Source organism: Homo sapiens, chromosome 2, assembly GCF_000001405.40.
Source record: "Homo sapiens chromosome 2, GRCh38.p14 Primary Assembly".
NCBI lineage: Eukaryota > Metazoa > Chordata > Mammalia > Primates > Hominidae > Homo > Homo sapiens.
The window spans coordinates 97,717,734-97,735,117 of record NC_000002.12 but is presented as its reverse complement, the minus strand read 5'-3'; the positions used below and the strand labels follow the sequence as shown (position 1 = coordinate 97,735,117).

General features: G+C 53.2%; 1 protein-coding gene across 8 annotated transcripts in view, besides 2 other annotated features; it reads right to left on the bottom strand.

Annotated features, from left to right (window-relative positions):
- Nucleotides 1–17,384, bottom strand: part of ZAP70 (zeta chain of T cell receptor associated protein kinase 70) — a 42,789-nt gene that overhangs the window by 21,247 nt on the left and 4,158 nt on the right. For 5 of the 8 annotated variants that reach the window (XR_007081582.1, XR_007081583.1, XM_047445775.1 and 2 more), the window contains 7 exons: nucleotides 10,680–11,102; nucleotides 9,866–10,026; nucleotides 2,097–2,235; nucleotides 1,906–1,993; nucleotides 1,775–1,821; nucleotides 1,523–1,574; nucleotides 406–598 (listed from right to left, as the gene is read on the bottom strand). Coding sequence is in view for 6 of the 8 variants with exons in the window: in XM_047445775.1 (XP_047301731.1) it covers nucleotides 406–598; nucleotides 1,523–1,574; nucleotides 1,775–1,821; nucleotides 1,906–1,993; nucleotides 2,097–2,235; nucleotides 9,866–10,026; nucleotides 10,680–11,081 (1,082 nt within the window). In the remaining 2 variants the exon portion in view is untranslated. Of the gene's footprint in view, nucleotides 1–405; nucleotides 1,822–1,905; nucleotides 1,994–2,096; nucleotides 2,236–9,865; nucleotides 10,027–10,679; nucleotides 11,103–17,384 lie in introns of those variants that run through there. The other 3 variants (XM_047445776.1, XM_047445774.1, NM_207519.2) reach the window with 2 other exon arrangements.
- Nucleotides 10,255–10,845: an enhancer, noted in NCBI's record as "H3K4me1 hESC enhancer chr2:98340736-98341326 (GRCh37/hg19 assembly coordinates)". NCBI's record gives its function as "activates a minimal SCP1, AML or CMV promoter by ChIP-STARR-seq in naive H9 embryonic stem cells {active_cell/tissue: H9 hESC(naive)}" and the evidence as "EXISTENCE:reporter gene assay evidence [ECO:0000049][PMID:30033119]".
- Nucleotides 16,134–16,283: an enhancer, noted in NCBI's record as "active region_16242". NCBI's record gives its function as "activates an Ori minimal core promoter by ATAC-STARR-seq in GM12878 lymphoblastoid cells {active_cell/tissue: GM12878}" and the evidence as "EXISTENCE:reporter gene assay evidence [ECO:0000049][PMID:35858748]".

The window sequence follows — 17,384 nt, the reverse complement described above, 5'->3', positions numbered from 1 at the left end:
CCAAGGCGCTCAATGTCCCTGCAGCCTGGAGCGTCTGCTGAGGACGGCTCACAGCCGGATCGCTCACCGGGAACAGCCCATCGCCAAAAAGAATCCAAAGTGACACCCTCCCCAGGGGCAGCCTGTCAGGGGCCAGTGGACTCAGGGATCGGGGACCCCACTGCAGCTCCCCTGGGTTGGGAACTTCAGCTCCACAGCCTCCCCCTGCCCAGGCCCCATCCCACCCCCGTCAGGTGTCCCGAGCTCTCTCAGGGAATCCTCCAGCGTGCAACGTCCTGCCCCAGAGTCTGTTTCCCAGGCAAACTGCTGTGAGACAGACATCCCGGCTCCCGTCCCACAGCCCGGTGAAGCCACTCCCCTCTGCCCCAGGCGGCGGTGCTCCCACCACGGCAGGGGCGGCCATACTTGCGCATGCGGTACACGCCCTGGCGCACTGAGCCAAAGTTGCCGCAGCCAAGTTCAATGTCAGCTATGAGGAGGTTATCGCGCTTCAGGAAGAGCTTCTTGTCCTTGAGCTCCTCTGGGTCGCTGTAGGGGCTCTCATACACGCTCGTGTCCATGGGCATCGGCCGCGGTTTGTCTGGGGACGTTATGCGTGCTGGGCACACACAGCGGTACACTCCCAGGTCAGGGGCAGGGGTGTGGGGAGCAAGGCAGCCTCAGCCCCCACAAGCACCTGCCCCAGACAAGGGTGCCGTCCCTGGAGCATGCACAAGCAGGTGGGTGCCCATGCGTGTTCCTGCACATCCACACGCACACACTGGCATACACTCCTGGCCACAGCTGTGGGTGCCCCATGAAGCCACATGAGGGTGGACTCTAGGGGCGTGTGCATTGGTATCCACGTGGCACCGTTACTGTGCCAGCTGGGGTGTGCATGTGTGTGCATTCGTACGTGTACGCCTATGGCCGGGCCCGTCCCTGTCTGCGTATGCAGCACACAGCCACATTTACGAGGCCTCCAAAAGCGAGCCTCTAGGTGCACATGTAACTATGTGTCTTCTCTGTGCATACACATGTTCAGGTCTGGGCCCACCCATGAGAAACAGGAGCACCCGCAGCAGACCATTTTAGGAATGTGAGCTCTGGGGCCCATCGTGGGTTCACATCCCGCCTCTACCACTGCCTCACATCCCCATAGACAGACCCCTCCCTCTCTCATCTGTAAAGTGAGGTTAATCACCATAGCCACTTCATAAGGCATGTCAGGAGGGTTCGGTGGCTCATACACACAGTGACCTCGGAACGTGACTGACACATAGTAGGTACTCAACAAACGTGTGTCTGGGGAGCCTCAGGCAAGGCCAAGTGTGCTCCCTGCACGTCAGTACACACTGGGACGTACATGTGCACAGGCAGGTGTGATGGGTGTGGGCACATGTGTGCACAGGTGTTAACCAAGCCAACTGCCACAGCCTGGCCCGGCCCACAGCGCCCCCCGTGAAACCCCACAGCCCTGACAGCGACCCTGATCTCGGCTCAGCATGAGCCCCAACCCGCGTCCCCACCTCTGCCCGCTCACCTGGCTCAGGGGTGTATCCATCTGAGTTGAGGGTGTCGATTCGTCTCTGAGGCTAAAGGCCACAGGGTCAGCAAGGCCTGAGCTGGGGACGTCCAGCCCCTCTCATGAGACCTATATCCACTGAGGACTCCCAGAGACAGTGGAGAGAGAGCTTCTTCCGCTCCACAGGCACCCCAGCCTCCATCCCAGCCTCCCCCACAGCCACTCCCCAGCTCCATCCCCAAGGCCACACTCCAGGTGCCCCCAACTCACATGAGTCAACGTGGATGGGTGGGCTGGGAGTGTGGGAGCAGCAGCCCCTGGGGGAGCAGAAGGGACAGTGAGGGCTGGGGGCCAGGTCTCCTGCCGCCCCCGCCCACCGCCCGCCCGCCTGCTGCCGTCACCTGAGGCGTTGCTGGCACTGCTGTTGGGGCAGGCCTCCTTCAGGCAGTAGATGAGCCCGTCCGCCTTCAGCTTCAGATACTCCACCAGCTGCAGGGAGCAGGCAGCTAGCAGAGAGGCTCCTCTCCTCCCCAGAGCCCGGCACCCCATCTGAGCACGGCATCTCCCAGAACAAGTTGCACGGGCAGCCTACCTGCCAGAGCGTGTCAAACTTGGTGCCCTCGGGAATGCAGTACTTGCCCGCCTTGTCTTGGCTGATGAGGTAGTGGTACACCGTCTTCCCATAGATGAGGGACAGGGCGTATGTGCCCTGCTCCTTCCGCGGCCTCAGCCTGGCAGGGGAAGGGAGGGGATGTAACCCCTAGAGCCACCTGGGGGCCTCCTGCTGTGCCCCGGTTCCCCCGCAACACACCCTATGGGCTCCACACCTCAGAGCCTTGCAGAGAAGCTGCAGGGACTGGGGAAGCCAGGCCAGGCCCCCATCACCTCCAGATCTGCTGATGATGGGCCAAGTGGCAGAGGGCGGTGGAGGGGCCATGGCTGTGTTCCCAGGAAAATGCACTGTTCTCCAAGAGCCAACAGATGGCCATTCACGGGGAATACCTGACCCCCCACGGTGGACACCCAGCCACGGAGGAGGGGACACCCATCCACTGGGGAACACCTGGTCCCCCATGGCTGAACAGTTGGCCATCCACGGCCAGACACTTGCCATCCACAGAGAGATAGTCATCCACAGGCACTCATTGGGGGTACACTCGGCCATACAGTCAGCCAACCATGGGGGGCACTTGGCCTTCTACAACAGACCCAGAGCCTTCAACAGGTAGACCTAGCACCATTCTCCTGGGGAGAGAAAGCCTTTTCCACACAGACCCACACAGGTAGGCGCAGCTCCATGACAAGCTTACAGGGCACCCCTGTGCAAATCAAAACAAGTCACTTTCTCATCACGAGACTGACCAGTTCCATAATAGATGGACCTTTCCTAGAATGAGACCCTCGATTGCCTTCTGCTGGAATTTTGTCAATATAAATATATAAATCTTCCATGTCTATGATGGGAATTGAGCCCCTCAAAGGTGGTGCATTTGTGGGGTAAGAAACTGTCCCCCCATCCGCTCCAGCCCTGAGTACACACATCCCCCCTCAACACAGACCAACTTAGTGTCAGACACCGGCACCCTCGCATGAAGCCCCACAGTGACACCAGTCAGCATCCCCCACACAACAGTTTTGTCTGGGGTCACTGGCACAAGCCTCTATTGCAGGGTCAAGTGTAGCTTTACAGTGAGGAGGGAGGGCAGCTGGCCCCGTGGAAGCTGTGGAGGCCGGAAGCAGCCGACTCCTGATCTCAGGGATTGCACTGCACTACAGAAGAGCCCTTGTGATGGCCTGCGAGCTGCACCCTCCAAGGTGCAAATTCTCAGACCAGGCCTGGCCCTGCCTGTGGATGTTCATTCACTGGACAAGTCTTTACTGACAGGCCAGGCACTGTTCTCAGCGCAGGGATATGGCAGTGAGCAAGGCAGCCATGGGCCCACCTTGCAATAAGGCCCTTCCTTAGGAAATGTCCCCTGAGTGAGGGAGAGAGGTGCAGCTGTGACCATCCTCTCCATTCCTGGACAGCACGTTCCCCGAAGTACAGTGCAGTGAAGGGTGGGGCAGTTCCCAGGCTAGCCCACAACAGTCTGGAGATAACATGGAGAGATGGGAAATCAGGGCGGGGGCAATGAGGGCACACAAAAGGGCAAGGAAGAGAACCCACCACAAATTAGGAAACAAACATCCCACAGAGACAGTAGGCTGGGACAGCAGATGCAGCGCCGTCACGTGAAACCCCGCAGTGACACCAGTCAACATCTCCCACAAAACATTTCTATTTTGAGTCACTGGCACAAGCTCCTGTTAAGTGCAGCTTTCCAGTGAGGAGGGAGGGCTATTGGCCCTGGGGGTCTCAGAGCTGTGGAAGTCAGAGGCAGGTGGCAGGCTGGCCTGGAGGTGATGGTCTCCAGGGACTGTGAGAAGTGAAAACACCTCCTAAGGGTCACAACCTGAAGTTTTAAACTGACAACAGAGACTCCATGCCAAGCCACTCACCAGCAAACAGCAAACCTCCCATCTCCCCTCCTCTGTCTCTTTTTTTTTTTTTTTTTTTTTGAGACCGAGTCTCGCTCCACAGCCCGGGCTGGAGTGCAGTGGCGTGATCTCGGCTCACTGCAAGCTCTGCCTCCTGGGTCCATGCCATTCTCCTGCCTCAGCCTCCCAAGTAGCTGGGACTGCAGGTGCACACCACCACGCCCAGCTAATTTTTTGTATTTTTAGTAGAGATGGGGTTTCACTGTGTTAGATAGGATGGTCTCAATCTTCTGACCTCGTGATCCACCTGCCTCGGCCTCCCAAAGTGCTGGGATTACAGGCGTGAGCCACCAAGTCTGTCTGTCTCTTTCATTCTTTCTTCTAGAACTAATAATTTCCTCCTTATTTGTTTATTTAAACTTCCATGTGGAATACTGGGGGAAAACAGCCACAATATTAGGGAGCTCTTCCCATCAATAGGTGGGGCCTCCTCCTCTGTCTTCTGAATCAGGGCTTGACCATGTGCCTTGCTAACAGGACATTAGCAAACATGACACAAGCAGAGGCTTGAAAAATGGTTGAACATTGAGGTTGGCCTGCCCTCTCTTGCTTTTCCTGGCAGCTCTCCAAATACCATGGGAATGAGTCCAAGCTAGCCTGCTAGAGAAGGCCCATGGAGGAGAACCAAGGCACCCTACATGAGTGGCCAATAGCCATTCATGTGAGTGAGGCCATCCCAGAGACCATCCAGCTCCAGCCAATCTTCCAGCTGGCTGTGGCCACATGAGTAAGCTCAAAAACCCAGCAGAAGAGGCACCCAGCTGAACTCAGCCCAAATTACCAAGCAACCAGCCAAATTGCCAAGCAAAACAAGAGTGAATAAATGATCGGTGTTTGTTTGTTTGTTTGGGACAGAGTTTTGCTCTTGTTGCCCAGGCTGGAGTACAATGGTGCAACCTTGGCTCACTGCAACCTCCACCTCCTGGGTTCAAGTGATTCTCTTGCCTCAGCCTCCCAAGTAGCTGGGATTACAGGCACCCACCATCATGCCCAGCTAATTTTTGTATTTTTAGTAGAGACAGGGTTTCACCATGTTGGCCAGGCTGGTCTCAAACTCCCGACATTAGACGATCCGCCTGCCTCAGCTTCCCAAAGTGCTGGGATTACAGGTGTGAGCCATCACACTTGGCTGTAAATGACCATTGTTTTAAGCCACTACATTTCAGGGTATGAATACAGCACATTGTTACACAGCAAAAGCTAACCAATACACTCTTTGGAAAGAGATGTGTGAGTTCATAAAGAGCAGCTGCAAATTCCCAGATAATAACCACAAAAGCTAAGACATTGGTGTTATCACCACATATATTTCAGTACCATAAGTTCTACTTGATTTACAAAAAAAAAAAAAAATGCTAGGTAGTGGCAGTTCTTTGTTCTTGCAGTTGGAACTTGCACTTAAGCCAGAAGTACAGGCTAAAAAATCAACTTGTATCTCTGCTCTTAAAATAATACATAGAACCTATAAGAGCTACATCTGTCTCTGGTTCACGATTGTAAACAAAACAAAACAAAAGGGCTACAATTTATTTATTAAGATATTGGTTCTAAATTCCTCACATATTTGTCCTATAATCACAGCACTCCCCACAAAGTAGGCACTATTGTTATCTCCATTTTGCAGATGAGGAAACTGAGGCACAAGATTATGTATCTTGCCTAAATTGCAGAGTTGGTAAGAGATAGGAGGGGGAGCCAGGATTCAAATGCATTTCTGACTCTACAGTTAATTGCTACCTAGGACTAACACCCAGCTCTGTCACAGATTATCTGTGAAACCCTGAATAAACTGCTTATCCTCGCTGTGCCTCGGTTTCCTTATGTATAAAATGAGGTAACTGGTCTAAATCATAACTTCTTGACCTGAAAAGGGTTCTAAGGACGAGGTTCAGGACCAACCATGATCTCATATAACTGTCTGCAAAGTCTTTGAGGTGAATATGCTTTGGGGGATTGTGAAAGGAGCAGTCAGTAGGATTCCAAAGAGGTCTGCAGTCCAGGAGAGGATAAGAAACACTTGACAGGCCAGGCGCGGTGGCTCACGCCTGTGATCCCAGCAATTTGGGAGGCCAAGGCGGGTGGATCACCTGAGGTCAGGAGTTCGAGACCAGCCTGGCCAACATGGCAAAACCCTGTCTCTACTGAAAATACAAAAATTAGCCAAGCGTGGTGGTGCACGCCTATAGTCCCAGCTACTCAGGGAGGCTGAGGCAGAAGAATCACTAAACCCGGGAGGCAGAGGTTGCAGTGAGCGAAGATTGCACCACTGTGCTCCAGCCTGGGTGACAGAGCAAGACTCTGTCTCAAAAAAAGAAACACTTGACAATGTACTCTCTTAAAGGCCCTTTCCAGGACAAGTTTCTTTTAAAGTCGAATCAGCCGGTTCCATAAAATTGCTGCCAATAACACAGAAACAAGCCAGCATTGGCAGTGCACAGCCCTGGGTACAATTAAATCTGTTCTTCGGCAACCATGAACTGTGATCAATGGTAGGCGTGGTCCTGGTCTTCACTCTAGGCCTGAGTAGCACGTGTCTTTCTCTCACACCCCAAGCCCTGAGAAAGCAGTTATAGACTACAGGAACCACAAGAAGAAGCTCTCACAGTTTCTGTCCAAAGCGTACCTTGCCTAATTTTCCAGGAGCCTGGCTCTTTGTAGCTGCTTCGTCTCTTGACGTTTACCCAGAATGAGTCATTGTCCTCATACCACTGTGCCAGCTGTGGACCTCACTGCCAGCCACACGCTCTATGCTGTGCCCAGATGCTGGGCATCTCTCCTTCCTAGCCACACCCTCCCACCGCCAACGCTTGTCCTATTTGCCTGGGAGACTGCACGCCAGTTTGATATGCAATGCACAGACAGCTGCTTAAAGCTGTTGGCCCTGGCTCTCCTGAGACTCCTCTAATCTCAGCAGACTGGTTGACTCTAAGCCTGTCATGAGCTCTGCTGTGTTACACAAAAACTGTTTGAACTTTTCCTTTGGGCAGTGAAACCTCTGCCACACAACATTGTGTGTGGAAGCCTAAGATAGCAAACAGATCAAAGCTGAGCGGCTGTCGTCATTCAAGCTGGAACAGGGGCCCAAATCCCACCTGCTCAACCCTTCTCTCACTCTCCCACCCCCTAGAATCCTCTGCCACTCTCAGGAGGCTTTAGGGAATCTGGGGGAAATTTTTAAGCCATTGGAGTGGCAGAATCATGACCTGTATGTGTGTGTGTGAGTGCAAGATGAGGAAGAGAGATGGGGGTGGGGAGGGAAAGAGAGAAGAAGAAAGGAAAACTGAGACAGAAGAGAGGCAGAGATGGTGGGGATGAAAAGCTACATTGGGGATGTAGGGGGAAAACAGAGAAGAAACTCAGATTATAAAATCAAAGAAGACAGATGAATTTACATTTTATGAAAGAGAAAGCAGAGACGGAAGGAAAGAATCAGCTACATCAATAGGAAGGGTTTAGAGCCTTCTTCGCGTGTCCAGCCTGGGGAGAGCCCCTGGACTCTCAGGCACCTGGGGTAGCATGTAATGGACGAGGGGGATATGAGCATGTGAGAACGTGGGAGCAAACATTACTAACATCTTGGCGAGGGTCACACCTGGGGTGGGGTGATGCAACATCTGGAGGAAGGTGGGTAATACCTGGACCAGCCATCACCATGTACTGCAAGATGGAGCCCTCCAGATGCAGCAGGGCAGGCCCTGCCCTCAGGCTGACAGTCCAAAAGGAAAGAGAGACAGCCCCCAACACCCATGTTCACAATGCCCATACCTTCACGACAACTTGCTTCATCCAATCCTACGACCAACCGTTTGCAAAAATGGCTCCCTGCATTCCTCTCCCTTAAGGAATCCCTTCCCTACAGTGACTTTGGTTTTGGTCGTATGACTTGCTTTGTCCATTAGGACATCAGTGACATTACACAAACAAAGGCTTGAACTTGCCCTGTCCTCTCTGACTGATCTTGGGAACCCTGCACCACCACCACACAAACAAGCTTCAGCTAGCTTGCTGGATGATGGCTGCACTGGGCCAGCTCATCCCCATCACCCAGGTGACACTGAGCCAATGGCCAGTCATGTGAGTGTGGCCATCCCAGCCTATTCAGGCCCAGCCTAGATGACCCAAACCAGAACTGCTTAGTTAGCTCACAGAATCATGAAGAGCAATAAACTGTCATTTTGAGCCAATAAATCTTAGGGCTGCTTGTTATGTAGCAAAAGCTAACTGATACAAATGCAAAGGTTTCCTCTTAGAGAAAACAGCCCTGTCCTGTTCAGAAGTTGTGCCGGCAACTGAGTATTACGTGCAACATGTATCTAAGAGCTCCCTCAGAAGCCTTGGAAACTCCACTCCAATTTACAGCCTAAATCTGAATCTGTATGGTAGGGTGAAAAGAGTTATTTTATCAGCCCACAACAGAATCTTGGAGAGGGAGCTGCATCTTGCAAGAGGCCTGCAGGCAATCTACAGAAACTTCACATGGGTGAGGAAAATCAAGGGATGTGGTCATTTCCTCCAAGTGGGTTGACCTCAGGAGAGGAAACAGCCCTGGGGGAGGCAGATGACCCAAGGGATCTGCTGGGCAGGGGCTCAGGCCAAGAAGCACTCACGAGAAGGAAGGCCCAAGAATTGTCCCCACAGATTTCTTGGGGGAAAACACTGGGCTTCCTGAGGTCATGGGAAAGAGGCAGCACCAATTTATCTGTGTCTTGAGGCCTGAGTGACCTCAGCTGCACCTGGATACCATCTGTTACAGAAAAGATCCCGTGTCCAAACCAGAGAGCAACAGCCCCAGCAGGGCTGTCAAACACTCAGCAGAGTTTTAAAAAGAGATTTTCAGAGATTTTTTTCACATTAACAAACTCACAAATAGCTACATGGCCTCAGCTGTGGCTCAGACACGCACGTTCACCCACATATAAAAGCTAACATTTACCGCATTTTTCCTATGTCAGTTACCATACTCTCGATTCACACGTATTAATTCATGTAATCCTCATAGAGGATCCTGAGGGGAGGTACTGCTGTCAACCACAGGACAGTTAGAGGGGGCTGCTTCAACACTCTCCCGGGGATCCCACCTCACTTGGGGGAAAAGCTAAAGTCCCCGCCCTGCCCTCACCTCCTCCCATTCTCCCCCTCACTTACTCAGCTCCAGGCACATGGCCTCCACAATGTTTCTGGAACACGCCAAATAGACTCCTGCCTCCTGATCTTTGCACTTGCCATTGCATTTTCCAGGAACACCCTTCCCCCTGAAAGCTGCACAGCTCACTCCTCAGCTTCTTTCCCTTCCTCAGAAGTCACCTTCTCAGGAAGGCCTCTTCTGACCACCTAATCTAAAATTGCAACCGCCTCCCCACCTGCACACACGGCGCTTACCACCATCTGACAGGGTCTCTATTTTATTGATTCCTTTTCTTGTCTACCTGCCCCATGAGGACAGGCACTGTGTCTTTTTGGCTCACTGCCGTGTGCTCAGTGCCTGGTACACAGTAGGTATTCAGTAAATATTTGTTGATTGAAGGAGGGGAAACTGAGGCAGGCAACCACAGTCCGCTACTTGCCCAAGGGCCACAGCCAGCAGGTGGCGGAAGCGGGATTCCAAGCCAGGCCAAGGGACCGAGTCTGGAGGCTTTCCTAGTCACTACCTCTACTTCCCCATGTGCAAGTCCCTTTGCACATCAGAAACACACAACCCACTTGCACATGTGAGCACAGGGACACCCTTACGGCCCAACTGCACACTCACGTCTGCCCCAGTCCCCAGGATCCCTGCCAACGAGCCCCAATCCTCACCGCACCCAAATCCCGGGCCCCACATACAGGAACTTGCCGTCGGTCTGCGCCCCAGAGTAAAGTTTGCGCTCGGCCTCCTCACGCGTCAGGCTGCTGTGGTACCAGGGCATCCGCTCGTGGGCCGTCGTAGCAATGAGCTTCTCCACCTGCGGGGCCTGGCTGATGATGGCCTGCTCCAGGGCCTCGCCCTAGAAAAGGAGAGGCGAGGAGGTCTGTAGGTGTGGCCAAGTGCTCGCCACAGGAACCCCCTTCCGGGAGCCCTGTCCCAGAGGACTCCCCACCCCACCCAGGCGTCCCTAGCGCGTGTTAGGCAGGTTTTCGAGGACTACCTCCGCGCCATCTCCGTGGTCCCCTCCCCAATCCAGCTAGGGAGGAACCACCCCCACCTTCCAGCGCGGCCCCAAGCGCATCTCCAGCTTGAAGACCTAATTCAGGTAGTTGTGCATGGTGGTGTCACTCAGGCTGTGGACGACTACTGCCCATCTTCCCCAACAGCCACCCTACCCTAAGGGCTCACCCTAGCCCCGCGCACCCTCCTCTCAGCCCCGCCCCCATTCCAAGCCTCGCCTTCGCCCGGCCCAGTGCGTCCCTCTACCTTCCCATCTGGCATAGTAGAGCACCATAGCATCGCTCAGCCTGCGGAAGGCGACCGCCACCACGGAGCCCCTGCCTCTGAGGCCTCCTTTCAGGTTCTTCCCCAACCAGTGCCCCACCTCTCCAGCTTCCAAAGGGGACTGAATGGGGAAGACGACCTTTTCCTCCCTCCTATCCCCCCAAAACCCTCGACTGCCCCTCTTCGGCCACGCCCCTCCAGACCCCGCGCCCCAGGCTGCGCTCTCACCTCCAGCTTCCACGTCTGGCGCACGTAGTCACGCACCATGGCGTCTCGCAGGCAGTCGAAGACCCCCGGCTGCGGCTCGAGGCCCGACGGCCGGTTGCACGGCTTGCGCAGGTTGCAGGGCAGCCCGTCGGGGTCGCGCGAGTAGAACTCGCAGAGCTCTGCCGGTCCACAGTGCGCTTTGCCGCCGGCAATGGCGTAGGTGCCGTTGAGCTGGCGCTCGATGGGAAAGTGGTGGAAGCGCACATCGTGCACGAGCGACAGCACATAGCCGCCCAGCGAGCGCAGGCACTGGCGCAGCAGGAAGAGCCCGTCCGCCATGCCCGCCAGCTTCAGGTGCTCCTCGGCCTCGGCACGCGAGATGCTGCCGTAGAAGAAGGGCAGGTGCGCCGCGGGGTCTGGCATCGCCCCTGGGCCTCCCGAAACCTGCGGGTTCACAGAGGGTCGGAGGCACGTCAGGGCCTTCCTGAACCTGGTGCGTTGGGCCCAAAGACGGCGCGAGAGACGCCAAGTGGAGGGCATCAGTGCCGCAGACTGAGCTCGCCAAGGGGGCAGAGCCTGCTCTGTGCCAGAGTCAACCTGGAGAGAAGCCGCAGCCTGCTGGGCACAGATCGAGAAGTCCCAAACCCCCATCTGACTTTCCAGAGACATTATGTGGACGCCCAAGCACGCCAACTGGTCCCCAAGCACCCACACCTGTACCCATCTCTTCATGTCCCAACCACGTGCTGAATTATTGTGTTTCAGGCCCGGTGCTGGGGATATGCACGCTTGAGGCAGGCGCGGTCCCACCCCGTCCTCCCGAAGGCAACACTCTAAGGAGGGAGAGCCGTGAGATAAACTGAGAAAGAAACAAAAATAATAATTACAGATTGAGGTCAGCATTACAAAGGAAATAAGTGGAGTGACATTAAGAGAGAGAAGAGGTGGCTCTAGCTAGGATGGTCACCTTCTCCAAGGAGCTAGCATTTGAAGGGAGAGCTGAAGGAGGAGGAGCCAACTTTTCAAAAAGCGCGCGGGACAGCGCATCAGGCAGAGAGGACTGCATGCGCAGAGGCCCTGAGGCCGCACCCAGCTTTGCTCACCCAAGGGCCCTACCCCTCAGCCTCCCTTGTCCCTTCCGCTGACCCTTTCCCCTCGGCCTTAGCAGGCACCCCTCGCCCTGCCCTCTGCCTTCCTTGGCAAGTTTCTACAGAGCATACGCTAATTGGAATATCCATCCCTAGGGGACTGGTTAAATGCATTAGGGTTTAATCTCAAAGTGAACTCTGATACAGCTATTAAACAAAACGTGTGATTGAGGGGAGGAGGAATTAAGGCTATTTAGACAGATGGATATCTGGTAAGGCAGATAACTTAAAATTGCCTGCCCTCAACTTTCTGGGGTGATGGTGACGTCCTGTATATTCACAGGGCTTGGGTTATGCAAGTGTCTGATTTTCCGAAAACTAAGAGAATGTACACTTAAGATGTGTTCATTCCATTGTATTTGCCCTCCCTCAATTAAAAAAGAAACATAAAATATTGAACCCTAGGTAACGATCTGCTTGCAGAAATGTTTAGGAGTGATGGGAACTGAGGACTGTAATCTAATTTGAGAGCATCCCAAAAATAACACTGACCGATGGACGAACAGAGCGAGAGGGATGGATAAAAGGATAGACAGCCAGATAGACACAGTTGATTTCTGTCATTCTCTGCAGTTCTATAAAGTCAACGAAAACACTGAATTAGCAATATAGAACTATCCCTCCTAGGGGAAATACAGAGTTAGGTTCCTAGGAAACTGTTTACATTTTCATCAACTGATCAAGACATAACCTTGTTTTTTTGTGAGTTTCTGTTTAAAGGCACCTTATTTAATAGACATGGTTGATTCACTAACATTGAACTCTTAGCCAACAGCACTATAACTATAAGCTTATCTGACATGTTTTCTCCATAAGGCACATACAGCATTCTTGCCCTTAGGAATGCTAGATAGCATTTCAGCACTATGGTTGGGGGCCATGTCAACCACTGAAATCACCAACAAAAAGCACAAACATTCAAAATATGTGAGGCCGAGTGCAACGGCTCATGCCTGTCATCCAGCACTTTGGGAGGCCAAGGCGGGTGGATCACTTGAGACCAGCAGTTCGAGACCAGCCTGGCTAACATGGTGAAACCCCGTCTCCACCATAAATACAAAAAATTAGCCAGAGGTGGTGGCGGGCACCTGTAATCCCAGCTACTTGGGAGGCTGAGGCAGGAGAACCTCGTGAACCCAAGAGGCGGAGATTCCATTGAGCCGAGATCAGGCCACTGCACTCCAGCCTGGGCAACAAGCGCGAAACTCTGTCTTTAAAAAGATAAAATAGGCCGAGCGTGGTGGCTCACGCCTGTAATCCCAGCACTTTGGGAGGCCAAGGCAGGTGGATCACAAGGTCAGGCATTCGAGACCATCTTGGCCAACACAGTGAAACCCCGTCTCTACTAAAAATACAAAAAATTAGCCGGGCATGGTGGCAGGTGCCTGTAATTCCAGCTACTCGGGAGGCTGAAGCAGAATTGCTTGAACCTGGGAGGCGGAGGTTGCAGTGAGCTGAGATCGCGCCACTGCCACTGCACTCCAGCTGGGGCGACAGTGCGAGACAGCAATCTCAAAAAAAAAAAAGATAAAATAAAAAAACAAAATATGTGGCACCACCAAATAGAACATGAAAAAGATTGGCCGGCTGCGGTGGCTCACGCCTCTAATCCAGCATTATGGGAGGCCGAGGCGGGTGGATCACAAGGTCAGGAGACCAAGACCATCCTGGCTAACACAGTGAAACCCTGTCTCTACTAAAAATACAAAAAAAAAAAAAAAAAAAAAAAAATCAGCCAGCCATGGTGGCGGGCGCCTGTAGTCCCAGCTACTCGGGAGGCCAAGGCAGAAGAATGACATGAACCCAGGAGGCAGAGCTTGCAGTGAGCTGAGGTCACGCCATTGCACTCCAGCCTGGGCGACAGAGTGAGACTCTGTCTCAAAAAAAAAGAACATGAAAAAGACACTTATCTGCAGCATGAGAGTGTTTGCCTTGTGCAGCCTCGGTGGGAAAATGTGTATCGAGTGATTCATATTTTTGCCACTCTGTATGTCTGAGAATGACCACAAAAGTGCCATGTTGGTTTTAGGGTTTCAGATAAATTTAACAAGTAGGCAAACTCACAAATAAGAACTCCGCAGTGTTGATCAACTGTATGTGATAAAGCAATTATAGCAAATCATAAACTGGAGAATCTAGCAGGTGAGTTATTGGTGTACAGTTAATTCTTTCTATTTTCTGCATATTTGTAAGTTTTCATAGAATGTTGGGAAAAAATACCTCTCCATAGCGGTTCTGAGTTGTTTCTCTACTAACATAGGCCCAGCAAGGCTACTCAGGCATAAGTTTGCATTGGAGAATTGACTTTGAGTGCCCTTCTTAGTTATGCAAATGCAACCAAGGGGTAAAATGAATGCTTTTGTGAAAGCTCCCTCTGCCCTGGGTGTCCAGAGATGGGCTCTGGAGCTGAAAGGAAGGTACTGGAATGGGAATCAGGTGAAGTCTGGGTCAGAGTAGCTAGAGGAGGGGCCAGGATCTGCACTGTAACCCGATTGATTGTGACAGTGAGGTTGGGAGGGCCAAGCTTGAGGGGGGTCCTGGATGTCCCAACAGTTACAGACAGGTGGGTGTTCCAGAGATTCATAAGGGACTGCATTTGTGGCTCCACCTGGAGAAAAAGGTCACCATTCCACAAGAGTGTTTTTAAAAAGTCATGAAGCGGCTGGGCGAAGTGGCTCACGCTTGTAATCCCAGCACTTTGGGAGATCAAGGCGGGTGGATCACATGGGGCCAGCAGTCTGAGACCAGCCTGGCCAACATGGTGAAACCCCGTCTCCATTAAGATACAAAAATTAATGGCTGGGCCCGGTGGCCCACACTTTGGGAGGCCGAGGCAGGCGGATCACCTAAAGTCAGGAGTTTGAGACTAGCCTGGCGAACATGGTGAAACCCCGTCTCTATTAAAAATACAAAAAAATTAGTCGGGCGTGGTGGTGGGCGCCTGTAGTCCCAGCTCCTCAGGAGGCTGAGGCAGGAGAATCGCTTGAACCCAGGAGGTGGAAGTTGCAGTGAGCCGAGATCGCACCACTTCACTCCAGCCTGGGCAACAGAGCAAAACTCCATCTCAAAACAAAACAAAACAAAACAAAACAAAAAAACCCATGAAGGCTCCTAGGTATTCACTCTAAAGAAATGGAAATTTACATTCACACAAAAACCTACACAGGAACATTTATAGCCGTACTAGCCACAGTTGCCAAAAATTAGGAATAACTTACATGTTTCCCAACAGATGAATAAGATACACTGTGGGACATGCCTACAGTGGAATTCTACTCCGCGGTAAGTGGAACAGCATACGGAGACACGCAGTTCCGCAAACGCATCGCAAAGGCCTCAGGCTGGATGAAAGAAACCAGGTTCCAAGGGCTACGAATTGTGTGATTCCACACACAACTATAGGGACGGAAAACGCACCAGAGGTTGCTGGGTGCTGGGGGCCGGAGAAGGAGTGACGACAGAGGGCAGGACGGAATTTGGGGGAATAGTCTGTATCTTGATTGATGTGGTGGTAGTCTCTGGGCTGTATGCATTTGTCAAATCTCAGAATTTTTCACTAAAATGATATAAAAATTTTATTGCATGTAAATTATACCCCAAATTTTTAATTAAGGGGGAAAGGAACTGGAAGATACAGACACAATGGACACTAAAAATGCTAATGAAAATAGGAAAAGTGATTAAGGGCTGTCTACACTCCTGTCCCTATGTCCTTGACTCCCAGCCTCTCAGCCAGACCTGGTCTGCGCCCCCCCCCCAGGCTGTTCTCCAGCACTGATAGCACCCCTGGCAGTCTGTAGGCACCAGACAAGCACTCTGTGACCTCCTCAATCCTGGGCCCCCTGAATGGCCGACACCTATGACTCCTCCCTCCTGCTTGAGCCCCACAGACCTCTCTGGTCCTTCACAAACTCCCTGGCTTGCCTCTGCCCTCTGACCATCCTGCTCACTCTCCTTCCCCCACCCCCGTCCCCTTACTTGGGTCATCCTGTCAGTAGCTGTACATGCTGCCACACCCACCTCTCCCAGAGCCCAGATCTCTCGCCCGACTGAGGTCGGTTGGTGCTGGCATCATCTCCTTTGATCTCCACCAACTGTTTCCATTAATACAACCAACCTAAGATCCAGATGGCATGCTCATGCTGCCTGTGGCTGGCTGAACCTCACAGTCTATTTCCACAGAGCTGAGCCCCAGAGTCTGCAAGTTGCTCCTTGGCAATTCTTCCCCAAGGCCTCCCTTGCTCAAGACCCTAATGGCTACTGCATTGGATCTCCCCAGCCCTCTGCCCCAGCTGAGCTGTGCTACTTGCCTTCCTTCAAATGGATGTTCATACTTTCATCCACACAGCACCCTCCACCTAGTGCACCCTTCCCTCTCCCCTCCATCTTCTCCAACCCAGCCAGCCCATCCTTGAAGACTCATGGAGCCACTCCCATAAAGCATGAGGATGCAGGATGAGGCAGAAAACTGAGGGCTTGTCCAAGGACCATGGGTGCAGAGTAGCAAAGCTGGTCTCTGGGGCAGGAAGCTGTGGCAGGAAACTGTCGCCAACACAGTTTGAGAAGCTCCTCCCCACGTGGCCGCAGGTGCAGCCTGGGTAGCTAGAAGTGGGTTAGGGCAGAAGAGGAGATGAGGGAGGCTCAGTGCCCAGCCCAGGGCTGCCATCCATGACCCGAGGCTAAGGAGTCCCAGAGGCAGGCTCTCTTCCTGTGCATCTCGGCTGCGTCCCAGCTTCCCTGTCCCACTGCCCACAAGGACAACGGTAATCACAAGCACCACCCCACACACACAGGTCGGGTGGTGGGCGCCTCCTCTTCCACCCCTGGGGCCTTTCTGGACTGTCCTCACTAGTAAAACATGGGGCCCAAGTTCCCAGGGACCCCATGGCCAGAGATGCTGGGGAGGCCAGAGAAGGTGGGCAGAGGTGGCAGAGATGAAAAGTCCGGGGGCAAGAGGTGGGAGCATTTGCCACGCAGCGGCTAGCCGGAGTGTCTGCTGTCAGTGAGCTGCACCGATCTAGAGCTCCCCGGGGTGACCCCAGACCCCAGGCAGGGGATCAAATGTTTCTGTTCTCAGCTGTGTCCCTGCAGACTCGTGGCCCTCCCAGAAGACACACCCACCATGAGACCCACCCCAGCCCTCGACCTGCCTGGGCCATCCCGACGGACAGGACTTGGGTTAGGAGCCGCGTCCCTCAGTCCCCAGTGAGCCTGTTCATTCCCCAAGCCTGGCCTATGGTTCTCCCTAGGCTGACCCCAGTCAGCTTCCTCTTGAGCTCACAGTTCAGAGATCCTAGTTTGGCCTTCCCAGAACTTACAGCCCCTGGATCACAGCACAGAGATCACAGCAGAGCAGCCACGGGGCACCTGCCCCACACTCACAGCCCAGGCCCTGGGAGGATGATGGGAGGAAGCCTTGGAGCCTGGTCAGAAGGACCTGCCTGGAATCCCACCATTCACCCAGCCTCCCTGGGTAAAGGCAGTGCTAGATTACAGCTGTTCCAGAGAGATCAGATTCCCCAAACATGCTTCAAAGGAAAAAAGAGTCAAGGGGTCAAATACAGTTTCAAATGCTGTG